Source organism: Homo sapiens, chromosome 8 (assembly GCF_000001405.40).
Source record: "Homo sapiens chromosome 8, GRCh38.p14 Primary Assembly".
Lineage (NCBI taxonomy): Eukaryota > Metazoa > Chordata > Mammalia > Primates > Hominidae > Homo > Homo sapiens.
The window spans coordinates 4314476-4339729 of NC_000008.11; the positions used below are offsets into that span (position 1 = coordinate 4314476).

Genomic DNA, 25254 nt, shown 5'->3' on the forward strand with positions numbered 1-25254 from the left:
TCCTTGAATACCTTTCTAAGCAGTCTGGACTTTGCTAATGCCTTGGGATTTCTCCCGAAATACTAAAGATGATTCTAAACTCCAGTCCACAATCACTTTTACTTATGCTACTGGTTGTATTACATTTTCACACACACACACACACACACACAAAAGCAATGTAATGTACTATTACATTACCATTTGTGAGTTAAGTGTTAGGTCAAAATGCCTTTCAAGTTTTTATGTGTTCTTACGTACACACATACATCCTGTTTTCTCATTTACACATCTGACCCATGTCTTCTAATGATTTATCCTCAGAAAAGATTCAGCATTTATGAATAAAGACCACAGGAAAAGGGCAAAGGATTTTGTAAGAGGAGGGAGCTGCGACAAGCTGGGTGTTAGAAAACGCTTCCTGTTGGAGTGAAGAACATAATTGGGCTCCTAAAAACACAGAGATTATACCACAGGAAAAGTGGGGTTGACATTCTACATGGTGGGAGGAGGTTTCACCTTCCCACATGGCTAATAGTACTGACAGCCCCAGCCTGAGAAAAGAGGTCCCTCTTCTAATCATGACTGCGTTGGCTTCCCACTGCCCCGACCATTTGAATGGGCATCTCGAGGGAGGGAAGAGGACAGGGCTTCTTACACCATCGCAAGAGCACCACTCATTCTCTGCCCTCATCCACACCTACCGGAGACAGATGACACTTTCTGCCCAGCTTCCACACCTACCAGAGGTGGCACTTTCTGCTCAAAGGAAAGCCCAGCTCTGGCTTGAAGACCAGAGTGAGGTAGGGTTTATGAAAACTGAGACAGTATGCGAGGAGACCCTTTTACCCTAAGGTCCACAGCGTCTTCTAGCTGCTGTTGCTGCACTGTGAGCCCCAGGTGGCAGGTACCAGCCTGCCTCATTCACTAATATGTCCCCAAGCAAGGGATGAGTGGCCCATGTTCAGCAAATATTTGTAAAATAAATCAGTGAATGCAAAAAAAATATTCCAAGGCCTGACTCAAGATAAAGGATAAATAAAAAGTGAACCAATAAAGTAGAAAATTAGATTTCTAGAAATTAACTAAAAATCACACAGTGCTTAAGGAGAACCAATCTTCCATCCAGAACTTTGCCAGATATTATGAATAAAGTAAACTTGGTTTCCAAAGATAAAATGATTTTATTATAGAATCAAGGTTTACATCAGCATAAATATGATGATTATAAAATAGCCATTGAAGTCATATTTGTAGGTATAGATTGAGCTGTGCAAAAAAGAAACTGAATGAAAGCAACTAGCTGGTCATTTCATTTCAAAACATATTTTGCATAAAGTAATTCAAACTTTTTTTCTTTATTCTTCAGAAGCGTTTTCAAAAATTTGTTTCATATTATATTCTCAGTCTTCTTAGTAAAATTTTAAAAACAGGTTTTATAAAGCTAAAGATGCACTCAAATGTACAAAATGAAATATAACCTTCTCTTAACTCCTAAATAAAGAACGGGAAATTTTGTGAATGTCATCTTTTATTCTTTTTTCTTTCCTTTAAATATTCAGGCATTATTGAAATTTGAAAATATCCCACTGAGAAATATATGAATCCTTGAGTAGAAAATAAAATGGGTTATTAAAAGCCAACCACTCATTATTGTTAACCCTCTTAACCATTCAAAAACCTTCAACAATCCAAATACTCCCTTTCAATTATGTAGATTAGCTAAATTTCAAGAGAGCAGGACCCCATATTCTAAAATTTTATGATTTTCTAATGGTCTTCCATTTGTAGTGATTTTTCATCCTCGAATCTGAATTTGTTGTGATCTGTAAGATATCTCAAGGAATGCTGCAGAGAAAATAATCTGCATATTTTATTCCAAGCGGTTTCTTAGGTTATGGTCTTATACTCTGGGCTGCCACAGACCTCTGTTAATTCTTGGACTTACCAAGACAATTTCTTCATATATTAGGTTGATGTGAAATAACTGTGGTTTTCGCCATTACTTTCGATGCTGAAAACCTCAACGATTTTTGCACCAACCTATACAAATAGAACTATTATTCCATAATAGATTTCTGGTAAAATAATTATATATAATTAATAACTTTCCACTAATATTCCATCGAGTCCTAAGACTTGGTGTAGACATCAGAGACACCCGTGACAGAAGGTGAACGACAATGGGGTACACTGTGTCAAGATGAAGGACTCAAATGCAAACTAAGGGGGGGGCTTCCTTTATGTGTTTCAAAATAATGGGATTTTCAGAACGATAGTTAAATAAGAAAGTGGTCGAACGCCCCCAAAACCCTTTTCAAATCCAGAAGTAAATCTATATTGTGCTTCCCTCAAAGTCAGCACTCGGTAAACGCAAAATAATTGGTAGCTGCTTCTATTAGTGATGTTTTGTGGTTATACTCCAAATCTTGGGGTGGGGGAATCTTCAAAGGAATAGAAAAGCCAGGTACTGAATGAAAATATGCCACATGTCAGATTCATACGAAAACTCAAGAGTAAATACAATCGACTCTTATTGAGCATGCCAATACACTGTTGGGGCAAAAAACTACACTTGTAAACGGCACTGAAAACATACAAGCCCTGTGGAATTAATCAGCTACTAGTGTTTATCACAGGCAAGAGGTTTCCAACTGGCCAAGCACATCATCATCATCTAAGGTTGAATAATAATCCCCAAATCCCTTGTAAAGTTTTACAGTTTATAAAGCAGCTCAATGGGTTATATTTTATTTACATAACAATCTGGTAAGGTAGGCAGGGAATTTTTCTTTTTTTTACTATGTATGATTTTAAAAGAAAGCTGAAAGCACTGGTGTGATTTGTATAAATTTCCTGCTTGCTAACGTGGGGTGCAGTGAAATTAGACTCCCACGTCTGTGTTATAAGCTGTGGCTCTTTCATTCTACCCTGCTGTAAAACTCAAATGGTTACAAAACCAGTTAGTGTATCTCTGTTGTCATATAATGTAACAGATGTCTATACGCTGCCAGTGTAAGGCATGTACATGCACAATCACTATGCCTGCTAAGGTAAGTGACTTTTCTTGGCTGTTTCTTCATTTTCCAGAGATAGATTTAAAGTGTCCAAGTTAAGTGTCAGTACTCAAGAGAGAGAGAGGAGAGAGGGGAGAGAGAGAGAAAGAGAGAGAGAGAGAGACAATTTTATTTACTGACAAGCAGGAAGTTTAAATCAATAGTTCTTTATAGACTTAGAAGTGAGGTAACATAAAAGAGAAGCGATAGCTCAGCTGAGTACATGTCTGTACCATTTAGGTTACTTCCACACTGCCCCAGAAGTTTTCTTTTATATAGTAAAGTGCCTGATACATTGTAGGCATTCAGTAATTATTTGTTTAATGTATTTTTGACCAAGTTAAACCGAATTTTGGCAGGATGAAAATATGTTCTGTCTTTCAGATGTGTTGGAAAGGAGAACAAAATGTCAAGAATGATGTAATATGTTGCCGTTCCGAATTTAAGGTATTTGGTATTTTATAATAGTTATTGAATAAATATTTGGATATACAATTAGAATCCAGGAGTAATTCTATTAGCAATATATAAAATTGTGCGTTCGTTTTTTCTCACGTAAGTGTGACATTTAGTTTAGCCTGTCTGTAAAGCTGTACCCATTCCAAAATTTTATGCAACTACATTGTTATTTATGAAATAATATGAACATTCTAATATTGTTACTATCCTTCTATGGGTTTACATGTGAATGATAATTATTACAACTATTAGAACTTTTTTGTCACTGTAGAAAGAAATGACACTTGGTAACATTTTTCCTTAATTAAAGTTTTTACTTTCTAATCTTTGCAGACAAAATCTAAAATCTTTACCATTAGGTCATCCATCCCTCCTCTCTCTTTTTATGCACACATGTGCACACTCTCGTACACATCTCTATTTGCGCATTTTAGTTTCTGTGTGTGTGAGAAAGAGTAATATTGTGAAAATTACATTGAGTTAAAAGGTCATTAGCAAGTAATGAAACAAAGCTTGCATTCAGGACCTACTCAACTGGCGAGAAAACTTGAGTAAGTACTGATTAATAAAGTTACGTTAACAAGAGCTTTTACACTAAAAAGAATAAAAAACATGTTGATTGAAATGTTTACCCTTATTGAATTAGTAATTAAAAGTGACACACCTTCTAAATTTAAGACGTCACTGATTGTTTTTGATATCACTGATTTTTAACTCAAAGGCTTAATATTATTTTAAAATCTCAAAAAAAAAAAAAAGCCACTCTCTGTACTGGTTGTACAGATCAACCAATAGATACCATATATTGGCATTGTATTTACAAGCAAGTTAATTTTAAACTATTTGAAAGCTAACATCCTCCCATAAATCATAAAGCATCTTACAAGATAGATAACATCAGAGATCTGTCCTAAATGAACGTACTTTCTGAAACTTTAGTCAGAAGTGGGTTTTTAATTTTACTCTCTTTATTAAAAACAAAATGAAAGCACAATAATGACAATCTATCATCTTCATATTAAACAGCTTGAGGCCTTAAGTCTAACAAAGCGGCTTGAAGGTACAAACTCCTTGTTTGACCAAATAAACATCTTTTACTTCATTAGTAGTCCTCACATATACATGCACATAGTAACAAAGTAAGGAGGATTTTAAAAGCAGATTAAATCAAAATTGGGAAAATACCTGAAAATTTAAACTGTTAGTCAATTTCCCCCAGTAATTCCAATTACAGATTTTGATGAAAAGTGACCCTAAATCCTGACAGTCATTTTTCCCTTTTGCTTTCCTTCAATTTATCTTAGTAATGTCCTTTCCTTGCTTTTAAACAGTTTCTTCTAAATGAATTAAAAAGTCTTAGCATATTATGATTTTCCTCCTTTCCTTTTGCTGAATGTTTCTTTGAAATACTGAGCCTCTGGGGCCCATAATCGATACGTGAGCCCTAACCAATATACCTACACTTCTTTCCAAAATCCAAATAATAGCTACTCCTTCTTAAGGCTTTGCTAGGATAGCAGGGACCAGATTTACTCTCAGAGCAGAAAATAAACAAACAAACAAACAAAGTCACAGAAATAAAGGAAACATTAATTGTTGGCTGTTGAATAACAGGAAATACAGAGTGGTGATTCCTGAGAGAAGAAAACAAAAGGGTGAATTACTTACCCAGTTCACTGCCTGGAAAGAGAGGCCAGGGAACAGAGAAGGGAAGCAATCCAAGCAGAATTTGGCAGTTCTTGGATTAGAGGAAAAAGAACTGAGACTTGCCGGGGGGCCAAAGGCTGCTAGAGTTGCCGGGCAAAATACCAGAGAGAGAAGAGAGCTTCACAAGAGATGTGTAGAGGACCCTCGGGGTCTTCAGCTGAGAGCTCACCTGTATATTATGCAGGTAACAGAGGTACCCAAGGCTGAGCTCAGGCTACAGAAAGATCCACCGGAAAGCAGTAGGGAGTCATCTTCAGAGCTTGCACAAGGCCAATGTTTGGATTTTTACAGGCAGAGTGGAAAAATATCATAAAATAGGAGTATTGGGTTAAGTACTCAAAGTACCACCTCAACAATGAAAAAAATGAGTAGTAAACAAAAGACTTCGTTGGTTTTACCCAACAAACATTACATGTTCAAAAAAATCCAACCCTTTGCAAGTAATTTAACTGTGTAACAGAACAAAGCACAAAACTTTATTTAGAGAAATGCAAAAATATCCAGCACTTAACAAGGTAAAATGTGTGATATCTCGCATCTAAGCAAAAATTACCAGGCATGAAAAGAAACAGGAAAATAAGACCCACAACAAGTAGGAAAATAAAATGAATACAAGAGTGTTCACCTTATAATACCTTCAGGCTATTTGTTTTCCTTCCACAAGTCATCACACAAATAAACCTTTTTTATTATTATTATACTTTAAGTTGTGAGGGTACATGTGTAGAATGTGCAGGTTTGTGACATAGGTAGACACGTGCCATGATGGTTTTCTGCACCTATCAACCTGCGATCTACATTAGATATTTTTCCTAATGCTATTCCTCCCCTAGACCCCCACCCCCCAACAGGCCCCAGTGGGTGATGTTCCCCTCCCTGTGTCCATGTGTTCTCTTTGTTCAACTCCCACTTATGAGTGAGAACATGCGGTGTTTGGCTTTCTGTTCTTGTGTTACTTTGCTGAGAATGATGGTTTACAGCTTCATCGATGTCCTGCAAAGGACATGAACTCATCCTTTTTTATGGCTGCATAGTATTCCATGGTGTGTATGTGCCACATTTTATTTACCCAGTCTATCATTGACGGGCATTTGGATTGGTGATTCCTCAAGGATCTAGAACTAGACCTACCATTTGACCCAACAATCCCATTACTATAACCCAAAGGATTATAAATCATTCTACTATAAAGACACAAACACACTTATGTTTGTTTTGTTTTTCACTTATAGTATCTTCTTCTTTGTATCCTCTCCTCCCAGTGTGAGGTCCTAGCCACTCTGCCAGGTCCAGTTTCAGCATTGCCTCCTTATACCAGTTTCTCTGTAAATTATTTATTTCCCATACACATTCATATTTTCACATTTTGTTTTACACACAGATCTCTTATGAAGTCTTGTCATACGCTTATATTGAGTTTTTGTCTAGACTCTAGTCTAAATCAATCAAAGGCAGGAAGAGTGTCAAACCTATTTTTTATCCTGTCACCTCGCACAGTGATCAAAGTGTAGGGTTCAACATGTGTGTCCAGTGCATGAACACGTTCATGAGGCGTGCCTACAGCTAGTCCCTGTGGCCCACTGATCATCCTCGGTGTGTTGGTATGTTCAGAGCTGACCCAGTCTCTTGCCTATTGTTTCCTCCTGAAATGGCCATACGTCTTCTCTCCTCTCCCGCGCTGGCAGTTAAAGCATAAGAACGGAGCAATCAGAAGAGTTTTTTTCATCCCAAACCTGCTGCTCCCACTTATTGACTTGTGACCTTGGGAATCTTACCTTATCACTCTCTTAATTCCTCAGTGATGCAAGTTAGACAAACAAACCCACAGCAGAGGGATGTGTTAAGGATTAAAGGGATGAGTATCTGGTATATCACAGATATAACAGACAATAAATGGTGTGAGTATCTGGTATATAACAGGCACCAAATACCTTTTCCTCCCCTTTCTGCTCTACCTCTGCAAAGTTTAATAGTGGTAAAGATAAAAGAGCTGTTCAACATTCCTAAGATAGTGATAGGAATCAATGTCTTTGTTGATTAAAGTTTCCAAATTATTACTATACGATTAAGAGTACTTTCAAAAAGGATGCTTTGAAAATTTACAATTTTTTTTCTAAATTTACAAAGTACTAAATATCTTTTTTGGTAGTGTAGTTACACTACTTGACACGTAATTCATTCAGAAGAAATGAATAAATAATATATCATCATTGTGATTTATTAGACTTTTGCCTTTTATTACAGTATATTTTTATTTCTGCATTTTTTCACATTATCACTATGAAATTACCAGGGTCATAGACATTGTTAATTATCTTCAAGAAGAAAATCAAAAAAGCTATTCCATTAATTTAGTTCATATTTTAAATGCCTAATTCACAGATACTTTTCATCATAGACTGAAATGAACTCTTTAATTACATAAATACTTAATATAAAATATTGGATCATTTTATCCTCCGATTTCTTTACATTTGAAATAACATTGCTAAAAGTTTCCTATTTTAACAATTTCCTTTCACTCTATGGTTCCATATAGATAATTCACATGTAATTTTATTTGAAAACATACTGTATTTAAAATAGTTTAAACATAAGTGAGACCTGAATTCAATTTCATGTTATCTGCATATTTGAAGAGAGTACTTTTTTTTGCAACAATCTGAGCACTGGAGAGAGTTTAAAGTGGAATTAGAATTCCCCCAGTTGGCAAAAGCATCTCACCTATTAGCAAGGTGACTACATATGGCAGAATATTCTATCATAAGAGTAGGAAAAACCCATAGCTCTTAGGGATTAAAAGAGTGAAAGCTGTATGCAGTTGTGGGTTCAGGGAAGGCTGTATAAAAACATAACATTTGAGGTAGGCCCTGAAGAGAGTAAGTAAGATTTTGATGAAGGAAAATTTCAACATAAAAGACATGTTGTAGAAGCAGAAAAATGCTGGACATATTTGAGAAAAATCTAAGAATAATCACTGTCTACAGAATATTGCTTATTTTCAAAGAGATGGTGACAAGGTTGAAAATGCAGTAGGGGCCAGGCACGGGGCTCGTGCCTGTAATACCAGCACTTTGGAAGGCAGAGGTAGGCGGATCACTTGACTTCAGGAGTACAAGACCAGCCTGGCCAACATGGTGAAACCCCAACTCTCCTACAAACACACAAAAATTAGCCAGGCTTTTGTAGTCCCAGCTACTCAGGAGGCTGAGGCAGGAGAATCGCTTGAACCCTGGAGGTGGAGGTTGCAGTGAGCCTAGATCGTGCCCCTGCAACCCAGCCTGGGTGACAGAGCGAGACTCCGTCTCAAAAAACTACACTAAAATATAAAATAAAATAAAATGCAGCAGGAATCTGAGAATAGAAAGATTTTGACCAGCCTACAAATAGAGAGTTAAGCAGCGAAGGAATGGAAAAATCATATGATTTTAATGAGACATTAATTGGTGGTTCCAAAGTTGTTTCCTCATTTGTACAATGACAAGCTTTGGTTATACAATTCTAATTTCCAGTTCTAAACTCCTATGCAGACCCATGTGATTGTAAGAGAAGTTAGGCATTATGTATAAGCAATTTTGCTTAAACGGAAGTTCTGTAGCAGGTTCAACAGACTTATTTCACACAGTCTTACTCTATATAGTACTTCAACCCCTAAAATTCATGAAAAGTGAGAAATATAAACTTATGTTCTTTCCTGTACAGCATGGCCTTCCTAATTTCACAGCCTTGTTCCATGTCTTCTTCACAGGTCACCCCATTTGATTCAAAGTAACCATTCACAACAAACCATACATAATGGGACTAGGGCTTTCTCTGAAACCTGTTATCAGAAATGTTGCCTGGCATAAGGATCCTGACCAGTGTGGGTGATCTATATTGGGTCATATATCTGCTTTCCAAGGTGTTTGAGTGGCTGATACCCAAAGTCAACAGTGCGACAGAAACCAGAAGACATAAGGAGAAAAAACAAATAAGGGGCAGTGGACTCTACAAACAAGAATTATATAGGAAATGTATAAAATAGAAGGAAGCCGAGAGGGTATGATTTGGGTATTTCACATCCGCTCACTCAAATATCCCCCCCTTCCCCTGGCCAGACCTGCCTATCTTGACTTATTGAACCATAAAGGATGGGCAGCTCCTAATAACCTCCTCCAGGTGCCTTGTACTGAGAGTTTAGCTTAAGGCAACTTCTATGAAGAAACTCCACATTTTGAGTCTTGGAGTTCTGAGCCTGGGGGTGGCAGGTGTCCCAGCAACAGGCATTCAGACTACTGGGCTGTCAGTGCAGCCTGCTGCCTCAAGGACTTCACTGTGATCCTGGGAATGGCAGGCACAGCCACACCCTTAGCAGGCCAGTTCCTCTGTGTAGTTCAAATTTACCCGAGGCCAAGCTTAGATTTTACACCTTTTACCTTCCCAATGACATCACCTAAAAATCTCCTGCCTTAACTGCTGCTGTGCAATTATCAATGCTGACAAACAGTGGAAATAGTATAAAAAATATAGAACAAAGTAAACTGTGTCATCGGAATGTATGATGCATCTGCAGAGATTTCCCTACACCAAGAATGTGAGTTCTGAGACCTTTTCCTCTTCCTCATCACTAACTGCGTATTCCATTAACTAAACAGCAACCTCGAAAGAAATCAATACTCGGAAGGTCCTGTAGTAGCAGCCATTCCATGGATGGGACACCAGAGGTGGGGCAGGAGCAAGGAGGGGTTCCTCACCCTGGCAGGAAAGCTAGAAGCCTAGCCTTTGTCAGTGAACACAGCAAACCAAGCTTCTTTTCTGAAATCTTCTTGGAAGCAGATGAAGTGCACACAAAAGAGGGTTCTTCTCCACCCCCAGGAGGTGCATTCTGGTGGCCAATGCCAGGGAATAATTTCAAAGGACTGATAAACCTACTAGGAACAAGACAGGTCAGTGGCCATTTATGACCTCCCATACAGAAGAAAACAAACAAACACTGCTCCTGGAAGATCCAGCTCAGAGGATATAAGGGCAAAATCCAATTTGCCCTGTTTTCCATAAGGTGTTGTTATATATGGATGAAGGGTTTCAGTTTATTTTGTTTCAGCCCCATAAACAAACATCGAAAGTGTGTTTACCTAGCGCCTGCTTCCCATGTCTTGCTAGAGAACATAAGCAAGACAAAGAAGAGGAGGGACTCCCATCCCAGCACACCTCAGGGTCCTGGATCCTCAAGGCACTCTGAGTCCTGAGTTGATTCTAGGTATGGGGCCTCTTCACGGGAAGGAGGCAATTGTATTTGGAAAGGATATCATTATATCACTGTTGACACATCATTGCATTCCTGGTGTGGTCACTCATTGAGTGAGTGCTGCACTGTGGCTCCTTAAAATGGCTTGTAGTTACGCATCCAGTGGAGCCAGGAGGGAAAAATCAGACATCAGTAACCCACTTGATGATACTGCACATTGTATGCAATCATGAATGCTGACAAGACACAGGGGAAAGAGGAGAAAAATAAATATAACAAAGGAAACTGTCATGAAAACAGATGATACATTTCCAGGGATTCCCCTGAACCAGGAATGTGCGACTTTCAAGACCTTCTTCTGTTCCTCCCCACTAACCAAGTATTCCATTAATTAAATGGCAACCTAGCAAGAAACCAGTAGTTGGAGGTGGAGGGTTCTCTTGTCTAGGAAGTCTTAGATAATCCCAAGAGACAGACCTCCAAATCCCACTGTGATCTGCCTTAGAAGGAACTCTACAGAAGCCAGGCAATACATGGTATTTACTTCATGTAAGAATCGTCTACTTTCAAGCGCTTCCTGTGGCTGAAGTTTGTCTGCTCATTTTTGCATACTCACTTTGCATGAATATCCATGGCAACCAAAAGCATGCCTACCTTGTTAGCTTTTCCGGTGAGGTAAGAATTATTATAGTAGGCAGGGCAACATGAAAGCATCTGAAGATTTTTTCCCAAACTACCCAAATTACACAACAACCATCATGCTCATCTCTAGGGCCAGAAAGCGAGATGCAGGATAAAACTCAGTGATTATAGATGGAATCCAACACTGAGAAGGCGTGAATGTTATTCCTGTTGCACCCCTCTCCACTTCCCATTTTAAATGCTGGCCCATTTAAAATGCTGATGACCCTGAGAACGACTGTAGATTAACAAAAGCTTATTCCACCTGATGGCTGGAATTGAGAGTTCCGTTCTGTATATGCACATGGTCAGAATATAATAGAGCAGATTTACATGCTGGCTGGGGCACCTTTTTCTGTTCACGGTCATATCAGTCTACAGTAGCACAATTTCCTTCACCTGGGGTACGAACTCAGTAAAGACGTTGGCTCGCTATTTTTAAAGCAATATTTGTTGACCTAACACGGGATTCTCCAACACTAGCATTCATCAGCATTACCAGAACGGAGTGGTAAATCAGAGCTCAGGGCCCTACCGTCAGCGTTTCTGAAATATTCAGTTTAGAGTTGTGCCAGAGAATTTGGCTTTCTAACAAGCTCCCTGGGGATGCCAATGCTGCCGATTTGGGAACACTGCTTTGAAAACCATTGGTCTAAGATGACCAAAGACTGCAGATCATCTTCACATACGGTGGGAGACTCAGACATAGCAAGGACAGCGGATAAGTCCTTTGAAAATACAGGGCTTGCGATTTCAGACATGGGGCAACCTGACGACGATCACCAATGTGGCGAGAGGCACTCAGATTTTCAGCGCAGATAAAAAGATGGGAAAACCAATTAGGCAGCTACTGAGCAAGAGGTAAAGAATGCATATATGCTTGACATAAGGAAGTATCAAGAGGAGATAGGAAAAAAGGTCCATAAACGAGAGGTAGTGCATAATGAGTAATCAAAGGTGGGCATAAAGGAAAGTGAACGTTAGAAGCAATTCCAAACTTCTTTTTCTCTCCTACGGAGAAAACAGTAAGAAACCTCAGAACATATAGGATAAAAGCATCTACCCAACGTTTCCTCAAAGACCAAAGGAAAAGGTCTGGACTCAAGAACATGAAACATTCCGTTTGGGTAACACCAAATGGGGACTTGATGGAATAGTAATGCCCATCTTCAGAAGAAGATGAGGTACGCAGAAATGGAATTCAGCTAAGAAATCACCAAGAAAACTTTGGCTTTGAGATTCTTCTGAAAAAAAAAGGTCACAGGTGAAGCTTTGGGAAAGATTTAACTTGGACTATTTTACATAGACCATGTATAGGAGGAAAAGTAAGTTAGGAGCCATAATCTCAAGGAATGTCTACTTTGGAAGTGCAGGTGAAAAAATAGGTTAATGAAGGAACCTGAGAAGGAAAACGAAAGAATTGGGAGAACCAGACCACAGAAGGTCAGTGGTATGGATTCCAACTCAGAAGACGACTTCAAATAAGAGATGAGGTTGTAGCATATTCTTGAACAGGAGAGGGGAATCCAGCTGTAATATCTGTTATCATTGACAAGGTCTACTAGACAACAAATGTTAGATACATTATTGTATATATAATGCAGAAATAACACATTACATATCTTTAAAAATGATATAGCTTAGTTTTCATTAGTGTTTAATACAAACGTCCATTTTACAGTCAATTGCTCTTTAAGTATCTCTTTTACATTTTTCTCTTCCTTCTTTTCAAGAGCAATTTTAAGAGAGAATCAGAATAGGCAGAGAGTTAAAAGAAAGGTTAATGAAAATGGGGAGACTCTGCTAATGTATTTCCTTGGGCAAATTGCAGAACACTGGCACAATCAGTCGGATTGTTTGCAGCCTCCAGGTTGCTGCCTGTAGGTAACTGGGGATGAGCCATTCTCTGTGCTGAGTGCCTTTCTTGCAGTGTGATGTGTCAGGCTGTTCCAGCTCCAATGTTGGCTTTCCTGTGGGGCGCTCATCACTGTCACTCATACTACAAAGATGTTACCAAGTCAGAAAGGGGAAAAAGCCCCCAAAAACAACAACAACAAAAAACAACAAAAAGCTCCACGATGCATGTTTCTAGAATGTATTTTGTTTACACATAGGTATTAGAAGTTTAAAATGAATAACAAGAGACCTACTGTCCGAAAACATTGTTACATACATTATTTTTATTTAATCATAAAACCAAATGTAACTTTTCTTGCTAAAATGTCTCCTGTAAGTATAAAGTAAGGTACATTTTTGTTTGAAAGATGACACATTTTGTAAAACAAAAAACTTTAAAATCTTTCCTTTTGCTTCCAGGTCCCTAATTTTCCTTGCTCACCACATAATTGGCACATTTTCCACTGTGATCTAGAAGTTGAATGAAATTCTTGTTTTAACATTTACCAGTAAACTTTATTCATTTGGGAAATGATAAGAGGTACTTAGCGTCAGTTATTGGTGATCCAAGTACTAAGCTCTGCACTCCATAATTTACATGATATGTAACAGAAACTATGCAAACAAGTCACTATGTCCATTTATGAATGAAGAAATACTCAAAGATGTTAAATGCCTCATTCGAGGTCACATTATAAGACAGTAAGTAAGCTTGTATTTGACCCAAATTCTACACACCCAATTACATTGCACTCAATACAATTTTTTTTTTTTTTTTTTTTTTTGAGAGGAATTCTCTTCTTAACTGTGAATTACCACTTCCCCACGACTCAGTTAAGTCAACTGTGCGGTCTGAGACTTCTCTCTTTCTTAGTGCACATAAGCTATGGAGGCATGATTTCTTTTTATTACTTCTGGTTTCTACTTTTGAGTAGTTTTAATTTCTTAATTTATACAAATTTCGGTTGTCACACATAAGGTAACAGTTAACAGGGGACTTACAAAAATTAGAAATACTCCTCCTGCTTTTTTGGTAATAAAGCATCTCCTGTACTCTATAAATATACACACTATGTACCCACAACAATTTAAAAAAATGAAAAAAAATTAAAAATGAAGTCATTTTGTTTTGAAATATTTACCATGCTTACTTACCAAGAATAACATCACTTTTTCTCTTTGAAAGGCATGTCTACATATTCAACCTACTAGGAAGTGCTTTATTAGCTATACTATGGCTATTTCTTTACTGTTCTTGTTTTATCAAAAAAGTTACATCGTTTAAGTTAGCAATCTGACAAAGTATTCTCTTTGAAATAAACTTCCAAAAATAACACTGTGGTTTTAGAAGCTTAAGCAATTCTTGCTAGAATAATTATAACTGAAACTCATAAAATGTCCTCATAACATTCATTTGTATATATTGGTAGTGTGTTGTTTGCATTCGCTGTTTTTGCAATGCATTTGCAAGTTTAGCAGAGTATCACTCTTCTGTGATATTTATTTTTGTGTTTACTATTCCTCTTGGGCTTCCAACATCAATCTTCCTTTGTAAGTCAAGCCCTGGAGAATAATCACATAATAAATAAAAATTGCACAACAAATAAATCCAAGCCTTGTATTGCGTCTACAGACTGTATGGCTTCCAAACGTGTGTTATCTGTCTTGAATGCACGGTTCTCATCAAGCCCATAATGGAGAATAACAAGTATAGAGATGTTTCCAATACAAATTATTTGGACCTTATCAGTGTTGACATATGCACAGAATACAAACAAAGACCTATTACTAAAATGCTTGAACAAAAAAATACTCATTTATTTTTTGAGATGGAGTCTTGCTATCTCACCCAGGCTGGAGTGCAGTGATGCATTCTCAGCTCACTTTAACCTCTGTCTCCCAGGTACAAGTGATTCTCCCACCGCAGCCTCCCGGGTAGCTGGGACTACAGGCAGGCGTCAGCACACTGGCTAATTTTTGTATTTTCAGGATAGACGGCATTTCACCACGTTGGCCAGGCCAGTCTCAAACTCCTGACCTCAAGTGATTTGTCTTCCTTGGCCTCCCAAATTGCTTGGATTAAAGGTGTGAGCCACCGCACGTTGCCAAAAAATACTTATTTTTCTTTATTTACTACTTACATGTATGCCCAAACCTCAGTGATATCGTTTGGATCTGTATCCCCACCCAAATCTCATGTTGAGATGTGATACCCAGTGTTGGAGATGAGGTCCGGTGGGAGGTATCTGGACTATGGGAGCAGATTCCTCAAGAATGGCTTGGGCCATCCCCTTGGTGATGAGTGAGCTTTTGCTCCAAGTTCTCATGAGATGTGGTCAATTAAAAAAGTGTGTGGCACCACCCTGCTTACACACACACACACACACACACACAGACACACACACTCTTTCTCTCTTGTTCCTGCTCTGGCCATGTGAGGTGTCTGCTCCCCTTTTGCTTTCTGCCATGACTGGAAGCTCCCTGAGGTCTCCCCAAAAGCCAAGCAGATGCCAGCACCATGCTTCCTGTACAGCATGCAGAACTGTGAGCCAATTAAACCTCTTTTCTTCATAAATTATGCAGTCTCATATATTTCTTTAGAGCAATGCAAGAACAGTCCAATATAGTCAGCATTTGACTACATTTAAGACTTCACAATGAGTAGTATCCCAACAAATATACAACAGGAACAGAGGTTCCTGTTATGAAATCCACAATTTCTCCATAACACCCGTCAGATCCACCTGTCAGATCCACCCGTCAGATCCAGTAGGACTCTGTCTGGTTGTACTCTTCTACAAAGTAACACTATATTGTCAATTTAATATTTTGGGCTGGGCGTGCTGGCTCACACCTGTAATCCCAGTGCTTTAGGAGGACTAGTCAGGCAGATCACTTGAGGTCAGGAGTTCAGACCAGCCTGACCAACATGAAGAAATCCCACACCAAATATACAAAAATGAACCATGCATGTTGGCAGGTGCCTGTAAACCCAGCTACTTAGGAGGCTGAGACAGGAGGATCACTTGAACCGAGGAGGCAGAGGTTACAGTAAGCCAAGATCACACCACAGCACTTCAGCCTGGGCAACAGAGTGAAACCCTGTCTCAAAAAAAAAAAAAGTATTTTGTAATAGCTCATAAATCTAATCATATTTTATTTGTTTTCACAACCTCTTATGCCTTTAAGTTTTACACTCCTAGGTGTTTGCTCAATTTTCTGTAGGTTGAGGATACCCCAATCAAGTTCGTGACTTATCTGCATTCCTGTCTTTCCTGCGGCATCTCCTCCCTACTTATCATTTCTTTCCCTATCTATCTTCTGAAGCACTGTTCATTCTTGCACATGCAGCTCATATCCCACCTTCCCAGATTCTACAGCTCAGCAGGAATGTCAGTTTCTCTCAGAAAGCTTCATTATGTATGCCCAGCACCCTACATTGGATTCACTTTTCCCCATGTTCATTTTTATAACTAAATGCAAGACCCCCCGACATATACAGCCGCCTTTGTGTTACTGTGCCGTAAGTTCTTAGTGCATTATCTTACACATACTGCAGATTCAATAACTATTTCTTCATAATTTTTGTTTCTTATTCTCCAATATGCAACTACATATAATAGCAAAATGAAAATATATTTCCCGAAACTAAACTACCGAACTATCCTCCCCAAATTATTTGCCTGATAAGAATAAACCAGAAAATCTTCCTCAAATAGTTGACAAGATTACTGCCTCCCAGGTGAGTCCCTGTGGGAACCTCTTTCAGAGAGAAGCCAGGGAACTCGGTGACACAAGGTGCTGAATGGCAGAAGCATCATGCTGCACGGTGGGTGCAAACGCAGTTTTGAGACTAATTTTACCCCGCCCCTCAAAGCTTCCTGTCACGTGTGTTTGTTGCGAGGTGTCTACAGTTTTTCATGGTTAGTTGTCTTTCAGTGATTTAAAAATACATCCTGGTTTCTGGTAACGAGAGCCTTGCCAGCCTTCTTTTGGGTTTTGGGTTTTGTAATTCAAACATGTTTCAGTGTTGTTGTATCCCATTCTCATTTGTGTAAGCCTGGCAGTATGAATTAAATCCACAGCTGGGAGACTGCAGACAATGGGGCAACATTTATAGTGGCAACTGTGGCTTTCTTCTGTCATGAAAGCCTCAGTCATAATCAATAAAGCTAAAAGGTAGCCATCCCAGAGGCCCCAGTTAGGTCATTTCAATGTTCCTTGTTTTCCTAAAGGCTTCACAATGACCTTTCTAAATATTAACCAGCTTCGGTCCATGTGCCAAGTCTTCCCAGGAGAGGTTTTTGTATTTGACTCACAGTATTTTTCCTCCAAGCAAATAATTATTACTGTTTCCTCATAGCACAATCCATTTGCTTAAAAAAATACATAATACATAGCTAGAGAGTTTAACTATGGAAAAGCCCACATCGTAATGATTTTTTTACAGTCTCCATGACCATGGCATTGGAATTCATTTTCATTTTTATGCAAAGCACATCTGAAATGAAAATGCTGAGTAATTTACTCAAACCCACAAACAATGATGGATGCTTGTGGTTTTTATTTTTTATCTTATCAGTTTGGCTCCACTGAATCATCTATTTTTAATTTTGCCAAGAAACCACGCATAATTCTACCCCAAAGTTGTGATGAAAATGTCAAGTTGCTTAGGTCATGGAGCAAACACAACTGTGGACAGAAATAATGAGGTTTGTGAGCAAACAGGTGCGGATCCCTCACGAAGCTAACGCTAGCCATTGCCACCACATCTTAATGCCAAGGAGCCAAAGGGCTGTGCTCCAAGCCTCTCTTGGAGATGCTCTTTCAGTCCTTTCTCATATGAGGATCACCAAAACGCTGAAAAAGGAAGACAGCATTGCACTCAAATTAACGATTCCTACCATGCGGCAGGAGGATAGTATAAATTCTTTCTAGGCACCTGTGAGTAAGCACTGAGTAGGTAAAAACAGTGTGTACTGTCTCTCCAACTGAGCACCTCACAGATAGGAGCTCTTCTTCTGGTTTTTGCTTTTTTTCCCCAGTAATACCCTTCTGTCATGATATCACATACACACACACACACACACACACACACACACACACACACACACACACACACACACAGAGTCATATGCAGAGACATTCAGATACACAGACATGCAGCTCTCATTACTACCGTTTTGCTAGCTGGCACCCCTGGGGGAATATTAAATTACATGAAAAAGTATTAAGTACTTTTTCAGTGTGAGTTACCATTCTTAGACACATATGTAATGGCATGTGATGAATGTTCAAATTCAAAATAGTTATGTGTGGAGACAGGAGAAGTTTTCAGGGAAACTTTATTTAGCTGATGAAATGTTTTTTCCCAATCATCTACACAAAGGAATGTTTTTGAGAAAAACAACACAATGACTTGAAAAGGGTACTTTACTATCACATTTTTTTCTTATAAAAATCTAAAAAAAAAAAAACTAAGATTTCTGCCTTCAGTTTTGAGGTAAACGTCATATGAAAGAGCCTAGCAACAATGTATTTCTCATCCCACACACAGCAACCATTTTAAATGTCAAGAGCGTTTCATAGAAATACTACTTTTTTCAGGATGGAATTGTGTTTGAAAATTTGAAAATAGCAGGTGAAATCCAGCAACACCTGATTGAACATAAGAATTCCTCAAAAAATCCTTCGCAAGTTGGGATATCATGCCACTCACAGTTCTGAACAAAACAGAAGTCACACCCTGCCTAGTGACCCTGGACACAATTCTATTAAAGCCAATCCTGACGCTAAGTCCTCACCTGAAAGAAGCGTCTCAGATGCTGTTGAACATCTAGATCCGAGAGAGATGATACAGAAAGGGCGAGCGCAGGGTTACTAGCACAGGCTCCAGGGACGGCTGACAGGGGTTGAATTTCTGTCTCCTCAACTACCTGTTGCCTATGCTTGAAAAAGTTGTCTTCTCTGAGCCTCAGTTTCCTTATCTTGGAAATTATATTAGTATGATTATGTGTACAGCACTACTCTCATTTCATAAAGTGCTTAAACAGTGAAATCATCAGGATATGCACACCATGACATGCAATATGCGTTAGTTATTATTACTCTTGCTGTTGTTACTGATGCAGATATATTTAAGGAGAGTGATCTAAATCTAGACACACTGAGAACACATCATTTTATAAGTGCTTTTCTACGATACCATTTAATGAGAAAGAGTTGTAGAAAGGACTGCTTACAATGACAGATTCCAAGATCTAGTCCGCTGCCTGCCACGGGTAGGTAGCCTTGACCTGGGTCTGCCCCTGGAAACACATTGCTTGTGTGCAAATATTCTCTATGCTTCTCATTAGCTTTATGGTGTTTCATCTTTAACATGGGGATTCTAATACAATTTTTCCCCTTTATTTCTTTTTGTTTTGTTTTGAGAAAAGTTCTCACTCTGTCATCCAGACTGGAGGGCAGTGACACCATCACGGCTCACTGCAGTCTTAATGTTCTGCCTCAAGCCATCCTCCCGCCTCAGACTCCTGAGTACCTGGGACCACAGGCACCCACCACAACATCGTTTCATTAATTATGATGATGATGATGATGATGATGATTACAGACAGGGTTTTACTGTGTTAACCAAGCTGGTCTCAAACTCCCGAACTCAAGATATCCTCTGGCCTCAGCTTCCCAAAGTGCTGGGATTACAGGTGTGAGCCACCATGCCTGGCCCTTAAAATTCTGTTTGTATCATCCAATAACTTAATGTGTATGATAAGGTGCTTAAAAGTATGCCTTACACGTGTTTGGTCAAACACTATTCCAGGTATTCCTGGGAAGGTATTTGTGGATGTGAATGACATTTACACTTAATAAAGCAGGTGACCCTCCCTTAGGTGGTGGGCTTCATTCAATCTGAGGGGAACTTTAAGAGCAAATACTGAGGTTTTCCAAAGAGATTCTTTCTCAAGACTGCAACATCAAACTCCTGAGTGTTCATCCTGCCTTATCGATTTTTGACTTACCAGTCCCTATAAATGCATGAGCTAATTCCTTAAAATAAAACTCTCCAGATAGTATGAAAGATTGATGGATGACAGAGAGACATCTCTATTTTTATTTCTCTATCTGTATTTCCTCTGGAGAATGCTGACTAATACATAGCTTTATACCTTCTATGGTTAGAGAAGCTGTAAATCCTCAAAGCCTATACTGCCCAATTCTTACCATGAAAAATAATTTTTATTTGCATAGATACTTGAACGATACGCTCGACTCTACTGTGTAGTTGAATGTAGGCATTTTAGTCTGTTTGGGCTGCTATGACAAAATGCCATATATTCGGAGGTTTTTAAAGAAAAGACATTTATTTCTCATTGATCTGGAGGCTGGGAAGTCCAAGATCAAGGTGATAGATCAGGTGTCAGTGAGGACCCACTTTCTACCCCCACAGATGCTGTATTTTTGCTACATCCTCACATGACAGTAAAACCAGTGTCCTCCAGGCTTGTCTTTAAGCTCCGTTGCCTAAGTGATCTTGTTTTAGCCTCCTTAGTAGCTGGGACCACAGATGCACACCACCATATCTGACTAATTTTTGTACTTTGTGTAGAGACAGAGCCACACAATGTTGCCCAGATTGATCTTCAACTTCTGGACTCAAGTGATTCACCCTCCTCACAGCCTCCCAAGGTGCTGGGATTACAGGTGTGAGCCACCATGGCTGGCCTGGGCTCTCTTTTCTATGGATACTGATCCCATTTGTGAACACTTCACCCTTATGACCTAACCACCTCCCAAATGCCCTATGTCCTACTACCATAACCGGGAGGGTGAGGATTTCAACCTCGGACTTTTGTGGGGAAAGGCACAAACATTCAATCTATAGGAATCTGGATATACACATCTTCTGAATACATTAACATTGCACCATCTCTTTCTGAAACACACCAGAAACTCGTTACTAGAATCATTTATTTAAATCAGGGAATTTATATGGACTCCAGAATACAAATGTCCTGAACAAACGAAGTCATCACCTGCCATGTAAGAACATCAGCACCAACATCTAAATTAGCTTAAAACCTGTCACTATCAGTCTTAGCTAACTTTTCCTTAAAACTACTCTATGATTATCATTGATTCATGTATTTATTCAAATATTTAATAAAATGAAAAGTTGCTGGGAGCATGAAGTATATTGTGCAAAATTGTTACAGAATATAGTGTTTCTCAAAAATAACAAATAGTGTACCTTAATAGGGCTCACGGCAACAAGATAGAGTCATCAATACCTGAAGAGGAACATACCACGTTACCTGTGATCCCATGGAAGATACAACATTACTCAGCCCAGGGGTTGATTGGGGTATCTAAGCTGGGGAGAACAGGGGGACGAGAAAGTGGAGAACCTCCAGGGCTTCCTGCAATATGATCAAAAATAGTGAGGGAGCCCCATATTGGAGGATAAGCACAGGGAGGCTCTCACAGATACATGAGACTATAGGGTCAGCCCCGCTCACTGTCAAGTTAAGATTTGGTACACTTACTTCTAGATTTCCAAACTTCCTCCCTGTCTTCAATAATGATTAAGTTCCACAAGACAATCCACTAATTGATGAGAAATAGTGTAAGTATTTTTCCTGTTCTGTATAAACTTCTCACTTTAAGCTCTACCCTGAATAATCATACTCCTGGTTTGCGGTCAGCGCTGGTTGACTCAGGGAATGCAGGTAGTATGAATGCACCTGTAGGTTCAAGACCCTTTAAAGGTCTTGCTCGTCCAAAAATAGACAGTATTTTATGTCAGAAGCTTTACTTTTAATGCCACGTAGCCTCTGTAGAAAGGCACATTTTTAGTTAGGAAGCAGGGAGCAACTGGGTCATTAACAGGCAACTGTGCCTGACTAGGCGTGACCCATGGCCACTCCTGATGGAATGACCCTAAGGCCCCCGGTCAGTTAATGTCAGCATCTGTGCTATGTGTAGATGTTTGAGCCTTCAGACACGGAAACACAGATACAACTACATGGTGCCTGGCCAATAACGTGTTCGATGAATGTCATGCTGCTTGTTTTCTAGATGGTTTCCAGTGGCCTGGTGAAGCATGAATTTATTTTACACACACAAAGTGCATTTGTTGTGTTGCACAAATGAGCACATGAGCATGCTTCACTTCACAGCTTTCACATCTGTGACATAGTCCTTCGAAGACAAAGTAGAGATGAGGCTGTGTATTCTTTCTAGGATCCAATTACTCTGAGTTACTTGGTGACTGGATCCACAATGGGCAAAGCTGGGCCCAGAGGGAGATGCCGCCTGGATGAAAGGCAGGCTCTCAGTAACTAGAGATGGAATGAAGATGGGGTTGAGATTTATTTCCAATAATCAATTCTGTTAAAAACATACGGGAATGGGATTGCCTAATTTCCATAATAAATAATAACAATACAGAAATTCTGTAGGCTACAATGTTGAAATGGAGCAAACCCTCAGGATTTGCCGTGTTTTCTTCCCAGAATGGCTGACTGGCCTGCTTACTAAATCTGCAATTATAAACTGAATTTTGCCCACACATTGCATTCTGCATCTGTTTCACTGTCCCAGAGGGTTGCCAACGTTGCGGCCACGTACAGGAGACCGAAGCATTTAAGTGGGATCTTCTGCCCCCACCTTCATTACTACTCTATCTATACCTCTGTTTGCAACAGTGTTATCTCAAAAGGGGAGACTTTCAATCTTTACCCAGGAGGCAAAAACTCCACTGCCTGATAAAACATAGCATCATGGCAACTAAATGCTTAATTTCTGCTTGACATTTTTCTCTGCCATGAAGATCAAAATTTCTCCCAGTTACCCCAGCAACCGACATTGTTGCAAACTTCCACCTAAGTCATTTCTGCCCTTCTTCAGTAAACAGGTATTTTGTTTCAGACTGCTTTTCTATCTTAGCCTTCTCTGTTAAATCTAAATGTCTTTGCAAACCACACTGTGATGGGATCTCTGCTTTGCTTTTTCTTATATTCTAAGGATAATTAATACTCAGATCGTAACATTATTTTTAAAAATAAACTCAGCGATGAAGTACATGTGAGGCATATCAATTCTTCAAACTCAAAATTCTGTGGACAGTAAATATTTTAGACAAGTGTCATGCTGAACTATTCCGTTGACTTACAGCAGATTATTCTCACAGACAATTTTTTCTTTAAGCATGCCAACTTTTAAAAGAGTACACTCAAGTATTTGCCATTGACATAGAATGGATTAGTAGTACAGCCTTTACATTGGGCTGGAGTTATTTTAATCACACAGCTCTGATAAATTTTTAATCAGTAGAATAAATCAGGTAATTATAAAACTTCTTGTTCCTTCGTAAAGACTTTAAGAGTAAAAATAGGCATTTTCTTCAGCTTAAGACAAAATGACCCCATCACTGAACAAATCGTTTATCATTTAATGATATCGCATTTCTCAACCTTTTTAAATATCAGTTTTGTCAACTGTAAAATGTCTGTATTCCCAAATAGAGGTGTTCTGAGTGGAAATGCAAAGATTTATTCCAAGAATCTGCTTCAATAAAGCCCCATCATACTCTTTTTAATACATGCACTTTTATGTGTAACTTTGGTGTACAATTAATTTGAGAATTACTATGATTTTTATTCCAAAGCATGGTAGTAGAGAATTACAAAAATATTGGTACTAATGCAAGAGTTAGATTAGAGATGCATGTCATAGTTCTTGCATATTTCTAATATTAAGTTAGAATAGTTGCAATATTCCATAGTTGAGTAAGTGCAAGAGTTCAATGCAGTAGTTGAATATAGTTAGTTACACATTTACCTCGTATGTGATCTGTTCCAGGGCTCTCTTAAGGAAACATACAAAAATATCTTATGTTTGCAAATTACGTAAAAGTACATACTAGTGTGGATGAATCAAGACCTCATCAGAGCCATGCAAACAAGAAACCTGGACGTTTACACCTGGTTAGGTTCATGGCAAATCTACCTCGGGATATTGTACTTTGTACCTTCAAAGTTCTTCGGCTTTTTCTAGTTTACTCTATTTTCAAAACTAATTTCTGGGTTTGATAACACCTCTGACATACTCATAATAGAAACACAGCAATTAAATCTTTAAATTAGGTCCATAAATTTAGCTGTCATAAAATGTGCTCACGGGTGAGTCAGAAATAGAAGCCACAATTCCATAGTTCCGGTTCTACAAGTATTTTTTTAACTCAGATTTTTTTCGCCTAATTCATAAGCGAATATTAAATTCTCCTTGAACCCAAATGAATCATATTGATATTAGTTTAATGTTGCAATTACTCTTGTGTTGCCTTAATATTCAGCTTTATATTACTTTTTGAAAGAAGAAATTATGGAAGGTTTAGAAGAGAACCTTTTACTAGAACTGACAACAGAGGCATGATAAATAAAGTTAAAGTAAGGGTAAGCGTATCTGAACATAGGTCTGGGCATACAGTCAATGATCAGAAAATGCTTTGAGATTCTGTGAAAAGCAAGGCTTTTCTGTGAGGCTCAATTGCTGTAGAGCCTCAAATCTACCGGGAACTATTGCTTGGGTAGTAGAGGCATGGATTCTGAGTCTAGACAAAAGAGCTCATCTCTGAGGCAGAAATATATTCCAACTACAAATGCTATCAGCTATGAAAATAAATTCTTGAGCCAGGCTTTATCTCCTTCAAAGGAGATCTGCAAGTATACCCCAGGCAATAAGCCATAGGAAATAATCTAGTTATGGTCTTGGCCAGAGACAAAAGTAGGAAGTTGATAACTACTTCAAACCCTTTCAGTTCTTACCATTTTGTGATTTAAATTCACAAGCTATGCTGGCAGATTCATCAGCTGGTCAAATAATGAATCTATTTTTTATCTTGTCATGCCCTGTGCTAATCTCAGTCCAGGCTCTCTTTCATGTAAATGAGAGGCTGGTGTTTGAATCAGCTGTACAAAGCTACCGCGAAATGAGATACTGGAGCTGAGTGACAAAGAGTTTAAATTTATAAGACTTCAATTTCAGTCCTACATTTCTAAAGACTACTGAATCTTTCATAAATAACTTTCGGTTGTTTATTTCATCGTGCAAAGAACAGGTGGGAAATCGCTCAATGATTACCTGCCCACATAGGAAAACATTCATCAGATGATTCAATATGTTATGTTTGGATGGCCAAACAGTTTCCAGGTTTGAGTGAGTGAGAAGAAAATGAAAGAGGACGGTATA

At 38.7% G+C, this 25254-nt stretch overlaps 1 protein-coding gene across 3 annotated transcripts in view, besides 1 other annotated feature; it reads right to left on the bottom strand.

The window, feature by feature from the left end:
* Positions 1–25254, bottom strand: part of CSMD1 (CUB and Sushi multiple domains 1) — a 2059554-nt gene that overhangs the window by 1379115 nt on the left and 655185 nt on the right. The window lies entirely within an intron of this gene.
* Positions 10252–10546: a silencer, noted in NCBI's record as "tiled region #9772; K562 Repressive non-DNase unmatched - State 24:Quies". NCBI's record gives its function as "represses a minimal TATA promoter and a strong SV40 promoter by Sharpr-MPRA in K562 cells {active_cell/tissue: K562}" and the evidence as "EXISTENCE:reporter gene assay evidence [ECO:0000049][PMID:27701403]".